At 43.8% G+C, this 25,519-nt stretch overlaps 1 protein-coding gene, 1 long non-coding RNA gene and 1 pseudogene across 9 annotated transcripts in view, besides 6 other annotated features; all 3 read left to right on the top strand.

Annotated features, from left to right (window-relative positions):
• The first annotated feature begins 241 nt into the window (after positions 1-241).
• LOC112268073 (uncharacterized) lies at positions 242-9,696 on the top strand. Its single transcript, XR_002957242.2, has 4 exons — positions 242-358; positions 5,262-5,348; positions 8,948-9,253; positions 9,509-9,696. It is a non-coding gene; the product is annotated as an uncharacterized LOC112268073 (long non-coding RNA).
• MTCH1P2 (MTCH1 pseudogene 2) lies at positions 3,385-5,197 on the top strand (annotated as a pseudogene).
• Positions 10,893-11,187: an enhancer, noted in NCBI's record as "tiled region #13786; HepG2 Activating DNase unmatched - State 1:Tss, and K562 Activating DNase unmatched - State 1:Tss". NCBI's record gives its function as "activates a minimal TATA promoter and a strong SV40 promoter by Sharpr-MPRA in HepG2 and K562 cells {active_cell/tissue: HepG2 | K562}" and the evidence as "EXISTENCE:reporter gene assay evidence [ECO:0000049][PMID:27701403]".
• Positions 10,938-10,987: an enhancer, noted in NCBI's record as "active region_4506". NCBI's record gives its function as "activates an Ori minimal core promoter by ATAC-STARR-seq in GM12878 lymphoblastoid cells {active_cell/tissue: GM12878}" and the evidence as "EXISTENCE:reporter gene assay evidence [ECO:0000049][PMID:35858748]".
• Positions 11,055-25,519, top strand: part of UEVLD (UEV and lactate/malate dehyrogenase domains) — a 59,126-nt gene continuing 44,661 nt past the window's right edge. For 4 of the 8 annotated variants that reach the window (NM_001261386.3, NM_018314.6, NM_001040697.4 and 1 more), the window contains exons 1-3: positions 11,055-11,176; positions 20,981-21,065; positions 24,377-24,442. In NM_001261386.3, coding sequence (NP_001248315.1) covers positions 11,135-11,176; positions 20,981-21,065; positions 24,377-24,442 — 193 coding nt within the window. In that variant the 5' untranslated portion in view covers positions 11,055-11,134. Of the gene's footprint in view, positions 11,177-20,270; positions 20,362-20,980; positions 21,066-24,376; positions 24,443-25,519 lie in introns of those variants that run through there. The other 4 variants (NM_001261383.3, NM_001261382.3, NM_001261385.3 and 1 more) reach the window with 3 other exon arrangements.
• Positions 11,248-11,307: an enhancer, noted in NCBI's record as "active region_4505". NCBI's record gives its function as "activates an Ori minimal core promoter by ATAC-STARR-seq in GM12878 lymphoblastoid cells {active_cell/tissue: GM12878}" and the evidence as "EXISTENCE:reporter gene assay evidence [ECO:0000049][PMID:35858748]".
• Positions 11,348-11,497: an enhancer, noted in NCBI's record as "active region_4504". NCBI's record gives its function as "activates an Ori minimal core promoter by ATAC-STARR-seq in GM12878 lymphoblastoid cells {active_cell/tissue: GM12878}" and the evidence as "EXISTENCE:reporter gene assay evidence [ECO:0000049][PMID:35858748]".
• Positions 11,898-12,007: an enhancer, noted in NCBI's record as "active region_4503". NCBI's record gives its function as "activates an Ori minimal core promoter by ATAC-STARR-seq in GM12878 lymphoblastoid cells {active_cell/tissue: GM12878}" and the evidence as "EXISTENCE:reporter gene assay evidence [ECO:0000049][PMID:35858748]".
• Positions 20,580-20,761: a silencer, noted in NCBI's record as "fragment chr11:18600575-18600756 (GRCh37/hg19 assembly coordinates)". NCBI's record gives its function as "represses an EF-1alpha promoter that drives an FKBP-Casp9 reporter gene in an ReSE screen in HepG2 liver carcinoma cells {active_cell/tissue: HepG2}" and the evidence as "EXISTENCE:reporter gene assay evidence [ECO:0000049][PMID:32094911]".

Below are 25,519 nucleotides of genomic sequence, written 5' to 3'. Positions count from 1 at the left end.
CCACAACTCCCTAGTGGAGAAGCTGAAATCTAGTAGGGCATTGTGACATCATTGACCATATGGCCCAGACTCAAAACACACCAGAGACACTGCCCCCAGACCAGCAGCTGAGCAGCAAACAGCAACACTATGAAGTAGGCATTATTGTTAACCCCATTTCACTAATCAGAAAACTAAGGCTTAGACTACAGCCTAAGTGACCCGCACTACAGCACATAGCTGATGCTCCAGATCAGGGCCAAGACTTAGGACTCAGCTGCCTCTTGGGCAGCTGGGCTCTTTACACTAGAGGCAGAGATTTGGAAAGGTGTTTTGCTGCTAGGTGTACGACATGTGAACGAAACAAACTGAATTACAGGTAAATGAGACAGATGTCTCTATTTCTGTCCCTGCAAAACCTCCTCTCCCCATGTCAAGGGGATCCTCAGCATGATGGTATATCCACATCTTCATCACCTTGGATTAGTTCCTCTCCATTGATTCTCTTTTCTTGGCCATCATGAAGCCACAGGTACCCCTGTCCTTTCCTCAAAAAAACTTCCAGATGATACTGTGGCTCCTTCCCTGTCTTATTTCTTAATTTCCTTTTATGACCAAACTTCCTAAACAAGTGGTCCATACTCAAAGCTTTTTCCAATCTACGCCTCTTCCATGCATTACATTCTGACTTCTAGCCCCACCCCACTATTAGACACCCTCTCAGAGGTCACCAAAGATATTTTTTGCTTTTCTGCTACAACATCATGGACATTTAATGTATTTTTCATCTCTACAATTTTTTTTTTTTTGAGACAGAGTCTTGCTCTGTCGCCCAGGCTGGAGTGCAGTGGTGCAATCTCAGCTCACTGCAACCTCCGCCTCCTGGGCTCAAGTGATTCTCCTGCCTCAGCCTCCCAAGTAGCTGGGATTAGAGGCACCCGCCACCACGCCTGGCTAATTTTTGTATTTTTAGTAGAGATGGTGTTTCACCATGTTGGCCAGGCTGGTCTCGAACTCCTGACCTCAGGTGATCCACCCGCCTCAGCCTCTCAAAGTCCTGGGATTACAGGCATGAGCCACCGCGCCTGGCCTGTTGTGATATTTCCTGCTTCTTTAAATGTCTTACAACTTTTGATTAGATGTTGAACATGGTAAATTTTATTGCCGAGTGCTGGATTTTGTTGTATTCAACAGTGTTAAATTTTATTCTAAGGTGCACTTAAGTTACTTGCGATCAGTTTGATTCTTCTGAGGCTTGTTTGAAGCTTTATGATAGGCCAGGAGCAGCCTTTACTCTAGGGTTAATATCCGCACTGCTGAGTTAATGACCATTTTCTCTGAGCACCTTCTCTGAGGCTGATTGTATTAGAGCTTTTTTTTTTTTTTTTTTTTTTTTTTGGAGACAGAGCTTTGCTCTTGTTGCCCAAGCTGGAGTGCAAGGGCGTGATCTTGGCTCACTGCAACCTCCGCCTCCTGGGTTCAAGTGATTCTCCTGCCTCAGCCTCCTGAGTAGCTGGGATTACAGGCATGCACCACCACGCCCGGCTAATTTTGTATTTTTAGTAGAGACAGGGTTTCTCCACGTTGGTTAGTCTGGTCTCGAACTCCTGACCTCAGGTGATCCGCCCGCCTCAGTCTCCCAAAGTGCTGGGATTACAGGTGTGAGCCACTGTGCCCGGCATAGATCTTCCAAATCTGTGGAATGTTCCACAATTCCCTGCCCTTCAGGAACTCCAAGAAGTGTTTGGCCGACTGCTTTTGGGTGGATCTTTTCCAGGCCTCATCGAGTTTTATCCCATATATGTGCAGACAGAACTCAGCCAAAGACTTATAAGGGCCCCTGTGGAAATCTACAGAGCTTTCTCCATGGAGATCCCTCTTCTTAGCACTCCATCCTGCAAATTCTGGCCTCTGCTGTATTTTGCTATCTTTCTCTTCAACTCAGTGAAATGCTCAGTTGGGTAACTCCTTTCTGTGCCACAGTCTGAAAACTGCCTCCTGGCTGGAGCAATTGTAGGACTCACCGTCACTGGTTTCCTTTCTCTCAAAGTACACAGTTTTGTGCTGTCTCTTGTACAAGATCTGAAAACAATTATTTCATGTTTTGTGCAATTTTCTATTTATGAAGAGAAGGTAATTTCTGTAACAGTTGATCCTTCACAGGCAGAAGCAGAAGTGTATGTTCTTCTTTTTGGAGACAGTCTTGCTTTGTTGTCAAGGCTGGAGTGCAGTGGCACAGTCACAGATCACTGCAGCCTTGAACTCCTGGGCTCAAGCAATCCTCCCACCTCAGCCTCCCAAGTAGCTGGGACTACAAGTGCGCACCACCATGCCTGGCTAATTTTTTTTTTTTTTTGTAAAGGCAGGGTCTTGCTATGTTGACCAGGCAGGTCTCAAACTCCTGGGCTCAAGTAAGCCTCTTGCCTCGTCCTCCCAAAGGGCTGAGATTACAGGCATAAGCCACTGTGCCTAGCTTAGGTTATTCTTTTTTAATTCTTGCACAATATTCTAGTTTATTTCATCTTGCTCCCAATGATACAGTAGGTCAAGTCCAGTCAGGAGACAGAAAACCAGACAGTAATTTGAAAATTTTAATAAAGAGAATTATCAACTAGGAGCAAGTGACCGACTATAGAAGGGGTAGAAAGTGTTACATATTACAGGAATAGCATATATAGGGAGCAGCCACTACCTCTAGGGCTGAGGCAAAGTACCCAAGGAAGAAATAAATTTGGAATAGTCCCCTCCCCTCCAGGGCTGAGATCCAAAACATGTTGGAGGAGTTGTGGACATGACCAACTGGACGGTAGAGGTCTAATGAGCTGCTGCAGGCTAAAGCTGGCAATGGGTGCTTGTGGAACTCACTGGTCAATTGTCTCAGTGACACAGGTGTGGAAGAAGTCCGCAGTGGAGCCACTGATACTTGACACGGTGAGTGCCACTAGAAGTCCCCATATATGCCACTGGCAGCCACACAGAATCACGAATAGACACACACTGGAACTAAGAAGAGAAAGCCCTTCCTCTTGTAGTATCCTCTGAAGGCCCTCTACTGACAAAACGTTAGCCTGTCCACTAACGAGGAAGAAATGCTTACAGGGCCCAGCTTCATTATGGTAGAGCAAGCAATAAATGATGGATTTGGAACTGAAAGGCAATAAATAACTGGCATAATATGCATTAGGATTTTTTTCCCAATTTTTACCATCATAAACAATGCTGTGATTGTTAAAATTTCTGGCCCTGGGCTTGTGGTAGTGCCACGGAGATGGCAGAAGCAGAGGAGCTGGAGCAGGAACTTGCAATGAAGGTCGAGACTGCCCACGCACATCCATGCTACCCTTGGCCAGAAGAATGGATGGTGGGTCCTGGGTCCTGGGTCCTGGGTCCTGAAGACAACTCCCTGACCACTGAAGCTTTTTGTGGCACTGGGCATGGGTGTGATGGATGGCAAGACAGGGCTGTTCCGAGGTCTGAGCCCCCAACTGATGTGACCCCTCTCCTTTGTAACCAGGGGCAGCGTGAAGGTTTTCCCTCCAGATGAAATCAAGCAGGTTTCCAATAAGGATGGATATGAAGACTTCTCTGAAGCAAGCAGTGAAGGAGACCTCCTAGGGGATGATGATGCAGTGTGCGTCCTGTATGTTGGCCCACCCCCTGCATGCCATCTTGATGTGCTGCATGGTCTAATTTGTGGGATGGGAGGTTAAGTACAGTGGTGTGCTGAGCTCCACTGGGAAGATTTTCAAAGAGAAAGGGCCACTGGGATTCTTTGTTGGCTTGATCCCTCATGTCCCGGGTGAAGTAGTTTTCTTGTGAGGCTATAACCTGCTGGCCCACTTTATCAATGCCCACCTGGCGGATGACAGAGTGAGTGACACCTAGAGGGGCTGAGAAATGACCAGAATCGGGGTTCCCAGTTAGGCCAGGCCCTGACCATCCAAAGCTACACCAAGTTTGTGATGGAGATCGCAGTGAGCATGCTGACCTACCCTTTCCTGCCAGTTGGCAGCCTCATGGCTGTGAACAACTGCAGGCCGCAGGCTGGGCCCTCTCCTTACTCCCTGGTGTTCAAATCCTGGATTTACTGCTGTAAGTACCTGAGTGTGCAGGGCCAGCTCTTCTGAGGCTCCAGCCTGCTTTTCCCCACGTGTCATCAGGATCATGCTTTCGCCTGGAGCAACGTGAATCATCTTTAAAAAAAAACAACTGCTGTCTCAACATGGCCACTGTGGGTGAGGCCTGATTATCTCAGGATATCTGCAAGATGACTCCAATGCAGCAACAACCAGATGTGCTCCAGCCCAGCTGGGCTTCAGTTTCCATATTTGCCATGTGTTTGTCCAGATGTGGGGTCAGGTGGGGGTGGGGCTGCACCCTGGGGATTAGATCGCCTGCCAAACCTGGGGGAGGTGGGGCTAGGTGGGGAATTGGCAGAATCCCCATACCTCCCAGATTTGCTGAGTCTGCCTTGTCCAGAGGGCCAGAGAACGGCTTTTGGAGGCCCAGATTGGATGGGGAAAGCCTAATCAGGTCAGATCCCACCCCTGTCCAAGCCCCCAGTTGGTCCAGCTCCTATCTTGCAGCTCAGCTGAAAGCATCATTCTTCTGCACAAGGCCACTAGCATGTTTCAGCCTGTGCTAGGAGGCAAATGCTAGGCTCTGCCTTTATTTTTCTCAACACTACTTTTGATACAAGGGCAGTATCTTCCTCTGAATAGCTAATCATGTGATTAGTCAGAATGCATCCCCCTCATCTAATGCTCATGTATTTACTGGTGATGCCTTGTGTGCAGGATAAATACCCAGAGGTTAGGCAGATCAGTGTGTCTAGTCCTACCTAGCTTAAAAGTTCATAAGGCCAGGCGCAGTGGCTCACGCCTGTAATCCCAGCACTTTGGGAGGCCGAAGTGGGTGGATCACTTGAGATCAGGAGTTTGAGACCAGACTGGTCAACATATAGTGAAACCCCATGTCTACTAAAAATACAAAAAAGATTAGCTGGGCGTGGTGGTGGGCACCCATAATCCCAGCTACTCGGAAGGCTGAGGCAGGAGAATCTCTTGAACCCAGGAGTTAGAGGTTGCAGTGAGCTGAGATTGCGCCACTGCACTCCAGCCTGGGCAACACAGCGGGACTCCGTCTCAAAAAAAAAAAAAAAAGTTAGTGGTAAGATTTGACCCCATCTCCTGCAAATAAATGAATAAATGTATTGGTGGTGAAAAAAATTTTTTTTCTTCAACAAATTTCTAATCATGGCCAATTTTTTTCTTGTTAACCAGGGAAGCAAAAAGATGACAAGAAAGTATGCAAGTTCAGGCTGGGTGCAGTGGCTCATGCCTGTAATCCCAGCACTTTGGGAGACCAAGGTGGGTGGATCACCTGAGATGAGAAGTTCTAGACCAGTCTGGCCAACAGGGCAAAATCCCATCTCTACTAAAAATACAAAAATTAGCCGGGTGTGGTAGCGCATGCCTGTAATTCCAGCTACTCGAGAAGCTGAGGCAGGAAAATCACTTGAACCTGGGAGGCAGAGGTTGCAGTAAGCTGAGATTGCGCCACTGCACTCCAGCCTGGGTGACAGAGGAGACTCTATCTCAAAAAAAAAAAAAAAAAAAAAAAAAGAGTATGCAAGTTTAGACACAGTATGAAAATGCAGAGGCTGTATAAAATCCTTACGGGCCCAGTGCAGTGGCTTAGGCCTGTAATCTCAGCACTCTGGGAGGAGGAGGCAGGTGGATCACCTGAGGCCAGGAGTTCGAGATCAGCCTGGCAAACATGGTGAAACCCCATCTCTACTAAATATACAAAAAATTAGCTGGGCATGGTGGCGGGTGCCTGTAATCCCAGCTACTCAGGAGGTGAAGGCATGAGAATTGCTTGAACCTGGGAGGCAGAGGTTGAAATAAGCAGAGACTGCAGCACTGCACTCCAGCCTGGGCGACAGAGGAGACTCTGTCTCAAAAAATAATAAAATAAAATAAAATAAAATAAAATCCTTACAAAAAGAATTAGCTTAAGAAAAATTGCAGTTTTAATTCACAATATCATAAAAACATAGGTTGTTACAAAGGATATTTCAGGAAGAATGACCTGAGATACAAAATTGCTGTCAATGAACACAACAGTTAAGTTCTATACATTTAAGAAGTATATGATAGGCCAGGTGCGGTGGCTCACTCCTGTAATCCTAGCACTTTGGGAGGCAGAGGTGGGTGGATCACCTGAGGTCAGGAGTTCGAGACCAGCCTGACCAACATGGTGAAATCCTGTTTCTACTAAAAATTCAAAAATTAGCCAGGTATGGTGGTGCACACCTGTAATCTCAGCTTCTCGGGAGGCTACAACAGGAGAATCACTTGAACCCAGGAGGCAGACGTTGCAGTGAGCCAAGATTGTGCCACTGCACTCTAGCCTGGGCGACAGAGCAAGACTCCATCTCAAAAAAAAAAAAAAAAAAGAAGTATATGATAAGAATACATATATGTGTGATATCTGGAATAACAAGGTTTTGTCCCCTAATATGTCTGCTAGGGCCAATAATCATGAAAGCAACAAAGGGTATAAAGAGAGATCAGAAGTACAGCACCAAAAAAAAAAAAAAACAAGCTCTAATTTTAAACAAGCCATTTTTGTGTTTTTTCTAAAACTTACAAAGATGCAGCATATACACTTTTCCCATTTCTTAGTTTGGGACATTTTTGCCCCTTTTAACATTATTAACATCTTTGTACATATATCCTGAGTACTTTTATTTCTGTAAGACAGATTCCCAATGTGGCATTATGGGGTCAAAGGTCCAAGACTACTCTGCCCAAAGGTTGTAGCAAATTATGATCCCACCAACGACACTTGGGGTCTAGCAGACTTCAGTAAATCTACAAACATTCCAGAAACTGGACACAAAACAAACTGTATACATGAGTATGTATACAGGGACAGGTCTATATCTTCAACAGATTTTTTTTTGAGACACGATCTTGCTCTGTCACCCAGGCTGGAATGCAGTGGCACAAACACAGCTCAGTGCAGCCTCAGCCCCCTGGGCGCAAGAGATCCTCCTGCTCTAGTTTCCCAAGTAGCTGGGATTACAGGTGTGCACCACCATGCCCGGCTAATTTTTAAATTTTTTGTAGAGTTGGGTCTACAAAACAGACTGGTCTCAAACTCCTGGGCCGAAGTGATCCTCCTGTCTTAGCCCCAGAGTGTTGGGATTACAGGAGTGGGCCACTGAGCCCGGTCTCAACAGACGTTTTAAAAAAAAGTCTGAAGCCCAGATAAGGCTGAGAACTAGTACACTATACCTTCTTCTCCTTAAGGCATTGATCACCTTATACGTTCATTCATTCTGCAAACTTTCCACTGCAGGTTCTTTATATCTGGCTTTCTACATATAAGAAGGAATATATGCATAAATAATTATGCTAGGCACTGGGAATATAGAGATGAATGAGATTCAACCCCTATTTGCCAGGGCCTTACAGTATCTGAGGACAGAAAGAGGAGTGGAGATGGAGGTAGACAGGTACAAAAGTATAATAAAACACTCCTGGCAGCTACTAAGGTATGAGGCAAGGAAGAAGACAATGTACTTGGGGAAGAGTGAATGTTTCAGCCTAACTGGATTATAGGATCTAATAGCACCAGTTTCAGGAGATGAGGGTAGCCTGGTGGTCAGGATGGAAGTCAAGGGAGAGGCTTAAAAAAAAAAGCCAATTTCAGTACTACACAGCCTTTCTCTTGTAACTGCATAGCAATATAAGCACATAATTCAGACTTTGTAGACCTTTTTTTTTTTGATGGAATCTCACTCTGTTGCCCAGGCTGAATACAGTGGCAAGATCTCGGCTCACTGTAACCTCTGCCTCCCAACTTCAAGCAATTCTCCCTCCCTCAGCCTCCCAAAGAGCTGGGATGAAAGGCACCTGCCGCCACATCCAGCTAATTTTTGTATTTTTAGCAGAGATGAGGTTTCGCCATGTTAGCCAGGCTGGTCTCGAACTCCTGACCTCAGATGATACGCCTGCCTGGGCATCCCAAAGTGCTGGGATTACAGGCATGAGCCACCACACCTGGCTGATTTCCTAGACTATTATTAATCACAAAGTGTCATCACAATTTCACCCACAGTGAGAGGCACTATAACATGTAGTTTAGGAAGACAGTCTTTGACATCATCTTCTGCAGTAATTTAACCTTAGTCTTTGGTTTCCCTATCTGTAAAATGGAGACAATTATATACATATCCTCTATTTCACATTTACATTCTTTTCAAATAGGTGTGTTAAAATCAGTATGTATGTTTAATTTTGTAGTTTTCTTCTCCCCCCAAAAGCTATCATTAATACATCTCTTATTCAACAGAACCTCAGAAACAAGTAAAATAGGTAATATAACAATACACCTCAATTTTCTTATCAGTAAAATTGAGGTAATAATTCTATCCAGGTCATAGGGTCTTATGAAGATGAACGGAGATAAAGCACATAAAACTCTTAGCAGTATACCTTCCACAAAGGAAATGCTACATACACACACACACACTCACTCACTCACACTCTCTCTGGCATAAAGTGTGCATAGTGACTAGACCAGAAGAGAATTGGTTTGGTTGGAAGGCCTCTTTCATAAAAGGCTCTTTCATAAAAGATGGAAGAATCTTGCTCTGGCCTTGCTGCTAACTGGTATCTTTTCCTTATACCACGGATTTCTGGCAGGATCTATTAGAATTTGGAGCCCCTGGCAGTTCTACTGTTTTAAGGTTGGTTAGATCTGGCTGAGATGCACTTAACAGCCCTTCTATCAGCTTTTCTCTGTAATCTTCCTCCTACCTTGTCTTCTGGCCTACTCTTGCCTGACACTACTGCCTCTTCACAACACTGCAGAGTTATTAATATTTTTTTAAAGCTCAGTCAGATCATGTCACTGTTCTGTTCGAAACCTCCCAGTGGCTTTCTCTTTCTCCCAGATTAAAAGCCTGAGAAAGGAAGAGGCAGGCCCTGACATCTGAGAGCTGGTCTGACACAGCTAGACTTCAGGGTTGTTAGAAGCTGGCCTGATGCTCACAGCTTGGCCCAGTTATTCTTCTGTGGGACATAATCTCACAGAACACCAACATGAGACAAGGTCAGTCAGACTATAAAAAAGGGACACAACAACAAGGCCATTTCAAAATTGTGTCTAAGCAGAGACAAGAGAGCAAGGTCACTGTGCAAGCCATGAAATACCAAACGTCCTTCTCTGCTATTATGAGTGACTGCTGCTTCTTTACTAGGTATAGCTTTATCCTCACTCTAGTCTGTCCATCTTATAGACAATACTTATTCAGATACCTAGTCACAGAAATGTCCCTGCTTTCTGACAGCACCCAATCCAGGGTGAAGCCTGGCTTTCTTGAGCCCTCCCGCAAATCGCCCAAATTCTATAATAGGTTCTCTCACCCTCACCAAGCTGTCCCAATGGTCCTCCACAACACCTGCTTCCTCACTGCAAGAACTATTAATAATGAACTCAACTTGTTTAAGCACAGGTGTGTTCCTGATGGTCTCTGGCTGGAGGGCAGGGACAGGCCAGAGTCCTTACAATTGTCTACAAAGTCCCACAGTGGTTCTTGGACTTCATCACCCATCAGAATCATCTGGAAGAATTGTTAAAAGAGAATTGCTGGTCCCCAACCCCAGAGCCTGTGATTGAATAAAGCTGGGGTTGAGGTCTTAGCATCTGCATTTCTAACAACTCCCAGCACCTGAGGCTGCAGATCTGGGGCTCACACTAGAAGACTCACTTCTCTAAACCACTTGTTCCCCCGTCTTATTTCCCTGACTTAGCCTCCTTGTCTCCACTCCCATCTTACTTCATTCTACTCCAGCCACACTGGCCTCCTTGCTGTGTTGAGCCTCCCTGGGCACATGCCTTAGGCTACTGCTTTGTCTGCACTCGGATTCGTAACACTTACTCCCTCACCCCTCAGTGAGACCTACCCCAATCTCCCTACCCTTTTCAGAATTTATTCTCCACAACACGTAATCAACCTTCTGACATGCTGAATAATTTACTTATTACATTTATTGTTTTGCTCTCTCTCTGCTAATAAAGGAATGACACCCTTAAGACATCAGCTATCTGAGTGTATTTTGTTCACGGCTGTATCCTGAGACCTGGAAAAATAGCTGGCAAGTAGTAGATGCTCAACAAAAACTTTCTGAATGAATGTTCCTTCCAGCTTTTCAGCTTCTTCTCCTGAGTCAGGGCAGCACTCCCTTCAGATCTTCCTATAAATACAATCTCTCTCCTATATGTCCAACCTCTTGACAATTACAATATCCAGCTCCTGGGACTTTTCGCTTCAGTGGCTCAGGCCAGGGATACAGGGCAGGTAAGTCAGCCATGGGCCAAGGAGATCAAACAACGCCAGAAAATTACTGTATCCTGCATCTCTTCTTCACCCACCTTCTCCAGATGACCTTATCCACCCATCTCCCTCCTCTCTTGTTTTCCAACTATTTGTTCACCTGGATTTCTCCTCTCTTTGACCACCAACATTGTTATGGCACCCCTAAAAAAAATAAAAAAAGCAACCACTCTCCCCGTGCTAAGCCACCCTCATGCTGGGGCTGTCCTATCTCCGCTTCTCCGGCAAGGCTCCTCCTGACTTTGTTTTTCCTTTCTACTCCCTGAAATTTTGCTTCTGAAGTTCCATTACCGCCTCCTTCCTAAATTCAACTGCAATTTTCGGTCTTGCTCTTTCCTGATACACTGTGGAATTTAATACATCTGTCTGGAAACTCTTCAAGAACACCGCGTGTTGCCTCTACCTCCTTTAGTGCTTCTACTCCGGTCCTTCCTAGTCTTCTCTTCATAAGTGTCCCCAAGTTTCCTTCCAGGAAGATGGGTCGTGGTTTCCTTGACGCCAATGCGTTTCTGGCCGTGCCCTCGTCACTTGCCCACTCCGGGGTCACGAAGGAGAGGCCCCGGATTCCGGGCGCAGCCGCGGCTGAGCCCGGGGCGTTGAATGCGGGTGGAATTTCCAGTCTGGGAAGGGGCGGGGCCTTGGACCGCCGGGAAGTTTGGTCCTCAGCGGCTTCCGTCCTGCAGCAAGTCCGGAAGAAGGTCCGGGGGCTGGAGTCCTGGGACCTAGCTCGGGACCGGCCTGGAGATGGAGTTCGACTGCGAGGGCCTGAGACGGCTGCTTGGCAAGGTGCGGGCAGTCCGCTGGGCCAGTTTGGGTCCTCAGGGTCTTGCGGGGGGTGCCTCTGCCTTTGGCCAGGTTGCCTCCGTTTTGCGTTTCCCGGCTTGTAGTGGGGCTTGGAGCCGGGGCGGCTGGTCTGAAACCGGCTATGGGGCGCGGCCCCAGGGAGGCTGAGGGGACCTGGATTCTGATTTCTCCCGCAACTCTGAGGTTTCCCAACCTCCACCTGGTGCGAGCCCTCCTCATACCCCCAGCTTCACTGACCTCAAACAGCTCCCAGCACACGCCTAACCACGCCTTTCTCTCTTTCTCTCTGCTGAAATGGTCTGCCTTTTTTTTCTTTTTTCTTGAATTGCAAAGCTCATCCTTTGTAAGACCCAACTCAGTCACTCCCTGTAAGATTGAATCAACCCTTCTGTTTTGAAAGATATCGATTATCACATTGTGGAGTAATTATGTATTTACAAACCGTAATCTTGCTGTGAGCCCCTTTGACTGCAGACATTGTGCTTTTGTATTCCCTTCCTCTAGCCACTATGTTTGACAACACCATAGGTACTAAGTAACTGTGCAGTGAATGAAAGACCTGAGTAGATTTAGAGATGAAGACAGAGCTTGAAGGCCCTGGAGAGATCTTAATGTTGGAAGGCTGGGGAGTAGGCGGGCCGACCTAGAAATCTGACCTATATTTCTGAGACCTGACTAGCCTGAGTTTCCGGTGTACAATCTGAGGGAATCCCCGCCAATTTTCTAGTTAAGAAGACTAGTTTTCACCAGTTTCCTAGTTAAGGTGGTTTTTTGTTTTTTGTGTTTTTTTTTTTGACAGAGTCTTGCTCTGTCCCCCAGGCTGGAGTGCAGTGGTGCGATCTAGGCTCACTGCAACCTCCACCTCCCGGGTTCAAGCCGATTCTCGTGCCTCAGCCTCCCAAGTAGCTGGGACTACAGGCGCGTGCCACCATGCCTGGCTAATTTTTGTATTTTAGTAGAGATGGGTTTTCACCATGTTGGCCAGTCTGGTCTCGAACTCTTGACCTCAAGTGATCCACTCGCCTGAGCCTCCCAAAGTGGTGGAATTACAGGTATGAACCACCGCACCCGGCCTTAAATAATTCTTAATGCTTCTTAAGACTTCCTAATGCAGAAACCATAGTTTATGCCATTTTTGTTATACTTGCCTCTTTCTTTGTTGGGGCAGTTTACATACCCGTGGGAGGTTTTGAAGTCCTAAGATTGAAATTGTTTATGTAAGTGACTTGAATGAATTTATCTACTGCGACAGGTGCAGATCTTGTAGGAAGAGAAGTATCATAATGCTACCCTTTCTGTCTCCTCTTCAGAGCATGTGAAATTAAAAGAACCATTCAAGTTTTAATGTGCAGAGGATGATGGATTGTCCGATGGGAAGAATTGTTCAAGTTAAGATTCAAACATAGAGCATATTTTTGGTGGCACTGGAATGAAGGAAAAGAAGAGAGACAATGGTTTTTTCAAGGGTGAGAGTAGAATAGTAGAGGATTTTTTTTTCCCCATCAGTGCATAGCATAGAGTCTGGCACATAGGTAGCTTATTATTATTATTACTGTTTGTTTTGAGACGGAGTCTCGCTCTGTCACCCAGGTTGAAGTGCAGTGGCGCGATCTCTGCTCACTGCCATCTCCGCCTCCTGGGTTCAAGCGATTCTCCTGCCTTAGCATCCTGAGTAGCTGGGACTACAGGCGCCCACCACCAAGCCCGGCTAATTTTTTTTGTATTTTTAGTAGCGACGAGGTTTCGTCATATTGGCCAGGCTGGGGTAGCTTATTATTAATAAGTATTTGTTGGCTGTATAAATTAAGGAAACCAATCAGAAACAAGTCAGTGCAGCAAATATATGAAGTTTCCTGACCATTCACTGCAGTCTGCAAATAATATTGTTTAATATCTAGAAATAATTTTAGTCTAGGCACAGTTACTCATGCCTGTAGTCCCCGCTACTTGAGAGGCTGAGGCAGGAGAATAGCTTGAGCCCTGGTGTTTGAGTATGCAGAGAGCTATGATTGTGCCACTGCTTGCCAGCCTGGGAGACAGAACGAGACCGTGTCTCTAAAAAGTAGAAATAAATGTAAGGCCAGGCACGGTAGCTCACGTCTGTAATTCCAGCACTTTGGGAGACCGAGGCGGGTAGATCACCTGCGGCCAGGAGTTCGAGATCGGCCTGTCCAACATGGTGAAACCCCATCTCTACTAAAAATACAAAAAAATAAGCCAGGCGTGGTGGCCCGCTCCTGTAATCCCATCTACTCGGGAGGCTGAAGCAGGAGAATCACTTGAACCTGGGAGGTGGAGGTTACAGTGGCCCAAGATCGTGCCACTGCACTCCAGCCTGGGCAACAGAGGGAGACCCCATCTCAAAAAAATAAAAAAAAATGAATTTAAAATTTTTTAAAACTTAGAAATAATTTTGTTGCAGAAAAAATCGATGGAGAAGTGATCAGTACATTAAAAAATTAAGCAACTATGGAGAAAGTAAAAAATCTAATTAAATAGATATCCCAGTTTCATAGATGTGAAGATTGTCAGTTCTCTCCAAATTTATCTATAGGGTCAATGCATTTCTTGGAAACTTCAAACTGATTCTAAAATTCATTCAGAAGAGCAGAAGGCCAAGGATAACCTTGACATTATTATGGAAAAAAAATAGATATGAGGGCTGGGTGTGGTGGCTTACGCCTCTAATCCCAGCACTTCGGGAGGCCGAGGTGGGCGGATCACTTGAGGTCAGGAGTTCAAGAGCAGCCTGGCCAACATGGTGAAACCTCGTCTCTCCTAAAAAATGTAAAAACTGGGCATGGTGGTGGGCACCTGTAACCCCAGCTACTTGGGAGGCTGAGGCAGGAGAATCGCTTGAACCCAGGAGACAGAGGTTGCAGTGAGCTGAGAATGCGCCACTGCACCCCAGCCTGAGCCACAGAGCAATACTCTGTCTCAAAAAAAAAAAAATAATAATAATAAAGAAGGAAAGAATAGATGATAGATTTGAGGACCTGCTCTACCAAATATCAGTACTACGGCAAGTAAAATTTAGTGTGGCATTGGTGTGGAATAGACTAACCAGTGAAACAGACTAAAGGGCTTAGAATCGTAGTCACACATGTTTGGAAATGCAATATAAAACAGAAGACATTGCAGATAAATGGCGAAAGGAGAATGGAGAGACAAGTGAATATCCACATGAGAAAAATGAAATTGTACCTTGTATCCCTGCCTTACGCCAAACATAAAAATTTCCAGTGGATTAAAGACCTAAATGTAAAAGACAACTTTAAAACCTAAAAAGATAAATGTTATAGGCTCAGAATATGCAAACCGTTTTAAAATAATACACAAATAAGAGACAAATTCAACTGTATTAAAATTAAGAACAGAAGACACCATGAAGAAAGTGAAGAGGCAGCCAGGTGTGGTGGCTCACACCTGTAATCTCAGCACTTTGGGAGGCCAAGACAGGCAGATCTGTTGAGTCCAGGAGTTTGAGACAAGCCTGAACAATATGGCAAGACCCTATCTCAATTTTTTTAAAAAGAAAATTAAAGAAAGTGAAGAGGCAAGATACAAACTTAGAGAAGCTATCTGTAGCACACATAACTGACAAAGTATTGGTATCTAAAATATATAAAGCATGCCTACAAATCAATATTAGAACCAATAAATAGGCCAGGCATGGTGGCACACACCTGTAATCCCAGCACATTAGGAGGCTGAGGCATGCAGATCACGAGGTCAGGAATTCAAGACCAGCCTGGCCAACATAGTGAAACCCTGTCTCTACTAAAAATACAAAAATTAGCCGGGCATCCTGCAATGGGCCTGTAGTCCCAGCTACTCAGGAGGCTGAGACAGGAGAATCGCTTGAACCCGGGAGGTGGAGGTTGTGGTGAGCTGAGATCACGCCACTGCACTCCAGCCTGGGCAACAGAGCAAGACTCCGTCTCAAAAAAACAAAGCAAACAAAAAAGTAAATAGATAATTGGGCAAAAGATATAAATAAGCATTTTTTAAAAACAGGAATAAAATCACTAATCACATTTCAATTGTTAGTAGCCACATGTGGTTTGTGGCTATCATATTGGACAATGTATGTGTAGATTATTTCCATTATGGCAGAAAGCTTTGTCAGACAGTTCTGTATCATAAGTGGGTGGGTCAATTCACCAGTACTTATTATTCTGCAAAAAGCGTGTGCTTTTTCTTTTTTTTAAAGAGACAGAGCCTTGCTCCGTCTCCCAGGCTGGAGTGCAGTGGTACCATCATAGCTTACTGCAGCCTCAAACTCTTGGGCTCAAGTGATCCTCCTGCCTCAGCCTCTGGAGGTAGCTAGGACCACAGGCAACATCACCACATCTGGCCAATTTTTGTTTTTATTTTTGTAGAGACAGTGTCTTGTTGTGTTGCCCAGGCTGGTCTCAAAACTACTGGCCTCAAGTGATCCTTTGTCCTTGACTGTCCAAAAGTCTGGGATTACAGATGTGAGCCACCATGCCCAGCCAATAAGTATATTCCTTCGTTTATATTAAGTGTTACATTTAGAGAAATTACCTAGTTCCCTAATTCCTATTTTCTGCTCCTCCAGCTGAGTTACCTCGGAGAGGCAACTTAACCTAGATTTGCTCACTCATAAAATGGTAATACTGCGGTGGCTCACACCTGTAATCTCAACACTTTGGGAGGCTGAGGTGGGTGGATCACCTGAGGTCAGGAGTTCAAGACCAGCCTGACCAACATGGAGAAACCTCGTCTCTACCAAAAATACAAAATTACCCGGGTGTGGTGGTGCATGCCTGTAATCCCAGCTACTCGAGAGGCTGAGGCAGGACAATCGCTTGAACCTGGGCAGTGCAGGTTGCGGTGAGCCGGGATTGCGCCATTGCATTCCATCCTGTGCAACAAGAGTGAAACTCTGTCTCAAAAAAAAAAAAAAAAAAAAAGTAATACTGGACTTAATAAAGATTCCTTCCTGCTAAAAACTTCTTTTAATAAATGATACTACAAAGTATTATTATTCCTCAGTGTGTCCTACATTTGAGCAAAGTCATGTAAGAATACTCTTGAAATATCAGTCTTCTAGGCCGAGCGTGGTAGCTCACGCCTGTAATCCCAGCATTTTGGGAGGCCAAAGCAGGTGGATCATCTGAGGTCAAGAGTTCGAGACCAGCCTGGCCAACACGATGAAACCCCATCTCCACTAAAAACACAAAAAAGCCAGACATGGTGGCGGGTGCCTGTAATCCCAGCTATTTGGGAGGCTCAGGCAGGAGAATTGCTTGAACCCGGGAGGCGGAGGTTGCAGTGAGCCAAGATAGCGCCACTGCACTCCAGCCTGGGCAACAAGAGTGAAACTCTGTCAAAAAAAAAAAAAAAAAGCTGGGCACAATGGCTCACGCCTGTAATCCAAGTACTTTGGGAGGCTGAGGCAGGTGGATCACTTAAGCTCAGGAGTTCGAGACCAGCCTGGCCAACTTGGTGAAACCCTGTTTCTACTAAAGATACAAAAAATTAGCCAGGTGTGGTGATGCGCATCTGTAATCCCAGCTACTCGGGAGGCTGAGGCAGGAGAATTGCTTGAACCCGGGAAATGGAGGTTACAGTGAGCTGAGATCACGCCATTGCACTCCAGCCTGGGCGACAAGGTGAGACTGCCTCTCAAAAGAAAAAAGAAATATCAGTCTTCTGAATAAATACACTGTAGTGCAGCAGGCAAATTTAAAATTTTATTAAACTCAATTTTTCAGTCTTACTAATTTTTATAACCATGTAATTGTATTACTTTTAGAATGTCTTGGACCACTTTCTTCTTTAGTGAAGTACCTGTACCCTTTAAGCACATGGCACTGCTTGAGACACATTTCTTTAGAGAATGTTATGCAGAATTTTTAGTGGTGAGGACCAGTATGGAATCTGTCTTAATATTACACTAAGAAGATACACTGTTTAATATGTAGTGAAAATAAGGCTGGGTGTGGTGGCTCACACCTGTAATCCCAGCCCTTTGGGAGGGTGAAACAGGTGGATCCCTTGAGCCCAGGAGTTCAAGGCCAGCCTCGGCAACATGGTGAAACCCATCTCTACGAAAAATACCAAAGAATTATCCAGGCATGGTGGCACGCACCTGATTGTGCCACTGCACTCCAGCCTGGGTGACATAGTGAGACCCTGTCTCCAAAAAAAAAAAAAAAAAAAGCTAATATTTTCCTTGGGACAGATAAAACAGGTACTTTTTGGCTCGGGCCGGGAGTGGGGGTGGGTGGTGGGTGTCAAAACAAAACAGCAAATGAAATATTTAACTAATAGTAACATTTGGGTTTTTAAGTCCCGAGAAGAGTGCTTTTGCTGCCTTTGAGAAACTTGTGTAGCAGTTTTGCAATTAAATCAATTCTAGTGTAGCCTTATATAGCTATTAATAATCATGTTCTCCAATGATTTTACGGATGTAAAAAATAGTGGAAAATGAAACAAATTATATTTGTTGATAATATGTATATTCCAGGTGACAACAATGCAGCCTTTTGTACATTTGTGTAGTGTTTGGAGTTGAGGTGACTTCATTCAGTTTTGTTTACACTGAATCATGGGCACTGAATCTAGGACTCATTTTGCCCAACAGACTAAACAAGTCTGTTATAGTTAATACTGATCATTTCTTAGTTTTGATGCTCAGTGCTGTGGATCATAATTACTTTCTATGTCTACTCTACTCATATAAATCTGCCTATTTGCTAACTCCTATCCAAAAAACATAATTCTATCAAAGGCATACCCTGTACTAAGTACTGTGAAGAGCTAGAACAATGAGGGAAAGACGATTCCTGCTCTCAAGTTGTTTATAATCAGGCTTCTCTTCTAGCAAATTCTTCCCCATCTTAGAATGACCTTCCCTTTTCCCCCTAATTTTCTTTTTTTTTTTTTTTGAGACAGTGTCTCGCTCTGTCACTAGAGTGCAGTGAGGTGATCCCAGCTCGTTGCAACCTCTGCCTCCCGGGTTCAAGTGATTCTCCTGCCTCAGCCTCCTGAGTAGCTGGGATTACAGGTGCATGCCAGCATGCCTGGCTAATTTTTGTATTTTTAGTTGAGACGGGATTTCACCATGTTGGCCTGTCTGTTCTCGAACTCCTGACCTCAAGTGATTTGCCTGCCTTGGCCTCCCAATGTGCTGGGATTACAGGCGTGAGCCACCATGCCTGGCTTAACTACTAATTTTCTATACTGTTCTAGACTCTAGGCTGAAATGTAGATTCAGCTTCTCCAGAGGCCTTTCTCTAACTTAGATGTTCTTTGTGTCAATTTGTAGTTTCCTGCCTGTACTTACTATTGTATACATATTTTGTTTATTATCTCACTTTTACATATGTTAATTGTAAGACCTTCATACACACCTGTTGAAGTTTGTAGGCAGTAGAGCTATATCTTTTTTTTTTTTTTTTTTGAGACTGAGTCTAGCTCTTGTTGCCCAGGCTGGAGTGCAATGGCACCATCTCGGCCCACTGCAACCTCCGCCTCCTGGGTTTAAGCGATTCTCCTGCCTCAGCCTCGCAAGTAGCTGGGATTATAGTCGCCTGCCACCATGCCCGGCTAATTTTGTATTTTTATTAGAGATGGGGTTTCACCATGTTGGTCAGGCTAGTCTTGAACTCCTGACCTCAGGTGATCCACCCACCTTAGCCTCCCAAAGTGCTGGGATTACAGGCGTGAGCCACCGCGCCTGGCGAGCTGTATCTTTTTTGCAGGTGAACAACTTAAGGCTCTGAGAGAGGAAACAGGATCCACTAGCAATCCTCTTCCATTTTCTCCCAAACTCCCACAATCCTAGGTTTCCACTAGTCTACTTTGTGTTTCTATGTATTTGCCAGTTGGAGATATTGCATATACATGGAATCATAAAATATATAGCCTTTGTGTCTCATTTCTTTTATTTTTAATTTTTCTTTTTTTTTTTTTTCTGGGAAGCACAGTCTTTGTCCAAGACCAGAGGCAGGCACTTCCTGTGTCTAGTTTCTTTCACTTAGCATAGTGTTTTTAAGGTTCATCCATGTTGTAGCATATATTAGCATTTTATTCCTTTTTGTGGTTGAATATTTCATTTTATGGATATGCCACATTTTATTCATTCATTAGTTAATGGACATTTGAATTGTTTTCACTTTTTGGCTATTATGAATAATGCTGCTATGAACAATTGCATACAAGTTTTTGTGTAGGTACCCGTTTTCATTTTTCTTGGGTGTATACCTAGAAGTGGAATTAATTGCTCAGTCATGTAGTAACCCTGACTCTGTATTTAGTCTTTTGAAGAACTACCAGGCTGTTTCCCAAAGCAGCTGCATCATTTTGCCACTGGCAGTGGTGTATGTGTGAGAGTTCTGATTTCTTTACATCCTCTCCAACACTTGTTATTTTCTCCTTTTGATGATAACCTGTCTTTTGATTATAGTATGAATCCACCAGCTGTTTTGTTCTTTTTCCTGATCGTTTTGGCTATTCTAGGTCCCTCGAATTTCCAAATGAATTTTAGAGACTGTAAATCTTTGCCAAAAAAAAAAAAAAAAAAAAAAAGCCAGCTGGGATTTTGATAGGGATTATGTTGAATCTGTTGAGGAAAATTGCCATCTTAACAATACAGTCTTCAAGTCCGTGAACAAGGGATGCTTTCCATTTACTTTGGTCTATTTTATTTTTTTCAACAATGTTCTGTAGTTTTCAGAGTCTAAGTATTGTACCTTGTTAAATTTATTCCTAAATATTTTATTCTTTTTGATACCATTGTAAAAGGAATTGTTGTCTCAAATCCATTTTCAGAATGGTAAACTCTTAATATACTTATTTTCTTTCATTTAAACCTAACCACTAGTGTAAGAGGTAAGTATTATTTATTTTTGCAGATGAGAAAATAAGCTTAAAGAATTTAAATGATTTTGCCCACAAGACAACCAAGTCAGTATCTCTGAGAAGACATCTGGATAAATGAAGAGGCAGTTCACACACCTGACTACAAAACTTGCATGCTTTTGTTTTCCATTTGAAACCCAGGATGCAGTGCCAGGAAGGTGGGAGGGGAAAGTCGAGGTATCTCAAGTGAATGAGCCGTGCCAAAAAGACGGTTGGATCCTGCATAGTGGTGAGAGGGGTGATCCATTCTGCCTCATCATTTAAGCTGTCTGGAGGTATTTGGAGGCAGTTTGATTTAGAGATTAAAGACTCTGGTCCTGGATTTGAGCTCGGGCTTCACTATTTAACTTGCTATATGACTCAGCAAGTTACTTTGATTCTCTAGCTTTCATTTTCTTCTCCTGCTCCTATAGAGCAGTTGTAAAGCCCTACCTACCTGGTAGGGTTGTTGTTAAAAAGATTAAATCAAATACCATTCTTGTTTGCAGAGCTCAGGGCCTACCACACCGTAAATTGTCAGTTAAATATTAACTGCAGGCCGGGCGTGGTGGCTCACGCCTGTAACCACAGCACTTTGGGAGGCCGAGGCAGGCAGATCACGAGGTCAGGAGTTCGAGACCAGCCTGACCAACATGGCAAAACCCTGCCTCTACTAAAAATACAAAAAATTAGCCAGGCGTGGTGGCGTGCGCCTGTAATCCCAGCAACTCAGGAGGCTGAGGCAAGAGAATCACTTAAACCCAGGAGACGGAGGTTGCAGTGAGCTGAGATCCCGCCACTGCATTCCAGCCTGGGCAACAGAGTGAGACTCCGTCTCAAAAAAAAAAAGTTAACTGCAATTGTTCTTTTGCTTACAGCTTTATTCTTACTCCATGCTTATTTTTCTCTTTTCAGTACAAGTTCAGGGACCTAACTGTGGAAGAACTAAGGAATGTAAATGTATTTTTCCCACATTTCAAATATTCCATGGACACCTATGGTAAGAATCATATCCTCTAGTTTAAATGCTGCATTATTTGAACTACTAATTTTTGGTCCTAAAGAGCTGCAAAATTGTAATTTCTCTTTTTCTCTTTTATCCTCTGATTTTCAGCTATACTTTATGACCTGCAATTTCTGAGAAAGCTTAAATTAATACAATGTATCTTGTATTAGTTTTCTATTGCTGCTGTAACAAACTACCACAAACTTAGTGGCTTTAAAAAACACACGTTTACTGTGTTATAATTCTGTAGGCAAGAAGTCCACCACAAATTTCTATAGCTTAGAAAGTAAACTAGAGGTTTGACTTGGCTAAAATCCAGGTGTCAACTGCCTTTGTTTCTGGAGGCTCTGGGAGATAATGTTTCCTTGCCTTTTTCAGTTTCTAGAGGTCACCCACATTCCTGGGCTCTTGGTCTCCTTTCTCCATCTTCAGAGCCAGCAGTGTTGCATGTCTCTAACCATTCTTCTATAGTCAAATCGCCCTCTGACCACAGCTGGGAAAGATTCTCTGCTTTTAAGGACCAATGTGATTAGATTAGACCCACCCCAGTAATACAGGATAATTTCTTCATCTCAGACTCCTTAATTTTTTTAAGGCTAGCCAAGTGATCAGAGTCACTAATCACATCTAAAAAATCCCTTTGCCAAGTAAGGTGACATATTCACAGGTTCCAAGGGTTAGATATGGACATCTTTAAAGGACCTTTATTCGGCCTATCATATGTATATGGTTGATTCTAAATCATTAACAGTTTTAGTTATTCTGTTCACCTAATAGTAAGAATTTGGTTTTCTAAGAAATATTTTACTTTATTATCTTAATCTTTCTTTTTTTTTTTTTTTTTTTGAGATGGAGTCTTGCTCTGTCGCCCAGGCTGGAGTGCAGTGGCACCATCTCAGCTCACTGCAACCTCTGCCTCCTAGGTTCAAGCGATTCTCCTGCCTCAGCCTTCCGAGTAGCTGGGATTACAGGCACCCACCACCATGCCCGGCTAATTTTCTTGTATTTTTAGTAGAGATGGGGTTTCACCATGTTGGCCAGTCTGGTCTCGAACTCCTGACCTCAATTGATACATCCACCTCGGCCTCCCAAAGTGCTGGGATTACAGGCGTAAGCCACTGTGCCCGACCATGGGCTCTTTTATGAAGACACTAGTCTCATTCATGAGGGCCCAAAGGCCCCCCTCCAAGGTAGTTTGATTGTTTGAAACCAGAGATAGTGTTTCCTGTACTCAATCCTGAGATTAGGGCGTTGATTCTCTATCAGTGTGTCCCAGTTACTGATGGGAAAGTTGAACTTTCAGAGATATGAATGTTGAAAAGAGGTTGAGAATAATGAAATTAGAGAAACCAAAGAAGGTAATTATTGATCTAACAGTTTGCTTTAGAAAGCAATGCTGGCAGTTTTTCTTCTGGTTCTAAAAGTGACTATAACTGATTTTGTTACATGCGATAATGTTTTTTTGTTTGTTTGTTTTTTGTTTTTTGGTTTGTTTTTGCGGGAGACTGGAGGTTGGTTGGTTGGTTGGTTTGTTGAGACGTAGTCACTGTCTGTTTGCCCAGGCTGCAGTGCAGTGGCACGATCTCAGCTCACTGCAACCTCCCCCTTCCAGGTTCAAGCAATTCTCATGCATCAGTCTCTCTAGTAGCTGGAACTACAGGCGCATGCCACCACGCCCTGCTAATTTTTGTATTTTTAGTAGAGATGAGGTTTCACCATGTTGGCCAGGCTGGTCTTGAACTCCTGACCTCAAGTGATCCACCCACCTTGGCCTCCCAAAGTGCTGGGATTACAGGCATGAGCCACTGTGCCAGACCTGGAATTTTACTGTTACTCAAATCAGTCGCCCCGAGCATTGTGAGAACAGTTTTTAATGACAGCTTGGTGGGTGGGGGGAAGCCAGTGAGCCAGGAGTGCTGATTGGTTAGGTAGAAGATGAAATCATGGGAAGTTGAAGTTGTCCTCTTGCTCTAGGTCACTTCCCGGGTTGGGGCCACAAGATCAGATGAGCCAGTTTATCAATCTGGGTGGTGCCAGCTGATCCATCAAGTGTAGGGCCTGCAAAATATCTCAAGCACTGATCTTAGGAGCAGTTTAGGGAGGACCAGAATCTTGTAAGCTTCCAGGTGCATGATTACTAAACCATAATTTTTATTTTATTTTACTTTATTTATTTATTTATTTATTTTTCTGAGATGGAGTCTCGCTCTGTTGCCCAGGCTGGAGTACAGTGGTGTGATCTTGGCTCACTGCAACCTCTGCCTCCTGGCTTCAAGTTATTCTCCTGCCTCAGCCTCCCGAGCAGCTGGGAACCACCACACCCGGCTGATAGAGATGGGGTTTCATCATGTTGCCCAAGCTGGTCTTGAACTTCTGACCTCAAGTAATCCACCTGCCTCAGCCTCCCAAGGTGCTGGGATTACAGGTGTGAGCCACCGTGCCCGGCCATAAACCATAATTTTTAATTTTGTGGCTAATTTGTTAGTCTTACAAAGGCAGTCTAGTCCCCAGGCAAGAAGGAAGTTTGTTTTGGGAAAGGGCTGTTATTGTCTTTGTTTTAAACTATAAATTATAAATTAAGTTCTTCCCAAAGTGAGTTCAGCCTATGCCCAGGAAGGAACAAGGACAGCTTAAAGGTTAGAAGGAAGACGGAGTTGGTTAGGTTAGATCTTGTTTGCTGTCTCAGTCATAATTTTGCAAAGGCAATTTCAACCCCTCCCTTTGGATTTTTAAAACACCTTAATCTTAAGGTGTTGGCTAATGAAAATGGGAAAAGGCCGTCGATCACTCTGGCTTCTTCCTGCTGAGGGGGCGTAGTGGAGGTAGGTGTTGACACCGAGGTGAGAGGAGTGGAACTGCTTTGCAACTGACATTGACAATTATTTAATAATGGCCCCACATATTATAGTACTTCTTAAGTTTTCAAATTTTCTCATTTGATCCTTATGACAACTTTGTAAGGCAGTCTTATTATCTTTATTTTATAGATGATAAAACTGAAGATCAAAGATGATTAAAGTCACCAAAAGTCACATTCCTCTAAGTGGGGAAGGTGGCCCTAGAACTTGGGGTTTCAGTATCAAAGTCCTGTATTCTTTCAGCTACCCTTACTGCTTTCTAAGTAAACAACATCTAGTCATTTCCTCTTGTTGACAGATTTACCGATTCCTAGATTATGTTTAGAGATTGTGTGTGTATTTGTGTGTGTATATTCATGAGCACACACATGTGCACACTTACATACTTTACTACAGTTCTTTCTGTTTCTGATTGCACATTTTGGGGCTTTTTTTTTTTTCTTCTAGTTTTTAAAGATAGTTCTCAGAAAGACCTGCTGAATTTTACTGGCACAATTCCTGTGATGTATCAGGGTAAGTGTGGAAGTTGAAAAAATGTGTGAGTTTTCTAAAAGAGCAGTTCATTTAATAACTTAAATTTGTTTATGCCATAACATTCTTAAAGTATTATTGCAGATATATGACCTATACAGAACCTTACTGGATCTGTTCCAGTCAAGGAAGGCCTGTATTAATGTCAACAAGTTCAGTTCAATTCAACAAATACTTACTATCAACTAGATAAATCAAATAGAACAGCGTAACTTCGATCTCTTAAAAAGAGTTCAGCATTGTACAATGAGAATACATTGCCCAAAAGACACTAGGAAGCTGTATTTTGGGGGGACTTCTTTCAAAGTAGGTGCTTCTTTGTGGTAGCTCCTGGATTATCACAAACCCCCTACTACCACTACTCTGAAAGGCTCCAGGGTACAAAGGAAAGCAAGACAGACATAGGCCTGCCCTTGGGGAGAGTTACTTTTTTCTTCATTACACCTATATTTTGTTCCCCTCCTTTCCTCTCTATGTGATATAGCATTATCTCCATTCCATAGGTGAAACTGAATCTTAGCCTGGTCTGATTTACCTAAGATCACATAGCTAGTGTTAGCCTGAAACTCAGACTCCAATAGGAAAATTTTACAACACAGAAGCCATTAAAGCTCAAAGAAAGGAACACATTTTAGAGTGACCTAGCAGTTTAGAATAGCTAAGTGTTTGCCCAAAAATAAAAGAAAACAAATCACTGACTTTTCTTACACTTAACTCTTCCCATTTTTCCAGACCTACTTCTCCTGTGTTCATCAAGGACTAACCTTTCAGATAAGAATCACAAGAGGTTGCTTATATATAGTATGATTTTAAGAACACCAGTGAATCTTTGTTTCCAAATATTTATCTGAAGTGGTGCCTGAAATTTCACCATTAGAAATTCACTGTTCTTGCCGGGTGTGGTGGCTCATGCCTGTAATCCCAGCACTTTGGGAGGCCTAGGTGGGCAGATCACTTGAGGTCAGGAGTTCAAGACCAGCCCGGCCAACATGGTGAAATCTCATCTCTACTAAAAATACAAAAATTAGGCCTGATGGCACGTGCCTGTAATCCCAGCTA

This window comes from Homo sapiens, chromosome 11 (genome assembly GCF_000001405.40).
Source record: "Homo sapiens chromosome 11, GRCh38.p14 Primary Assembly".
In the NCBI taxonomy this organism is placed as follows: domain Eukaryota; kingdom Metazoa; phylum Chordata; class Mammalia; order Primates; family Hominidae; genus Homo; species Homo sapiens.
Note: the sequence above shows the minus strand (reverse complement) of the source record. Positions and strands in the feature narration are given on the sequence as shown.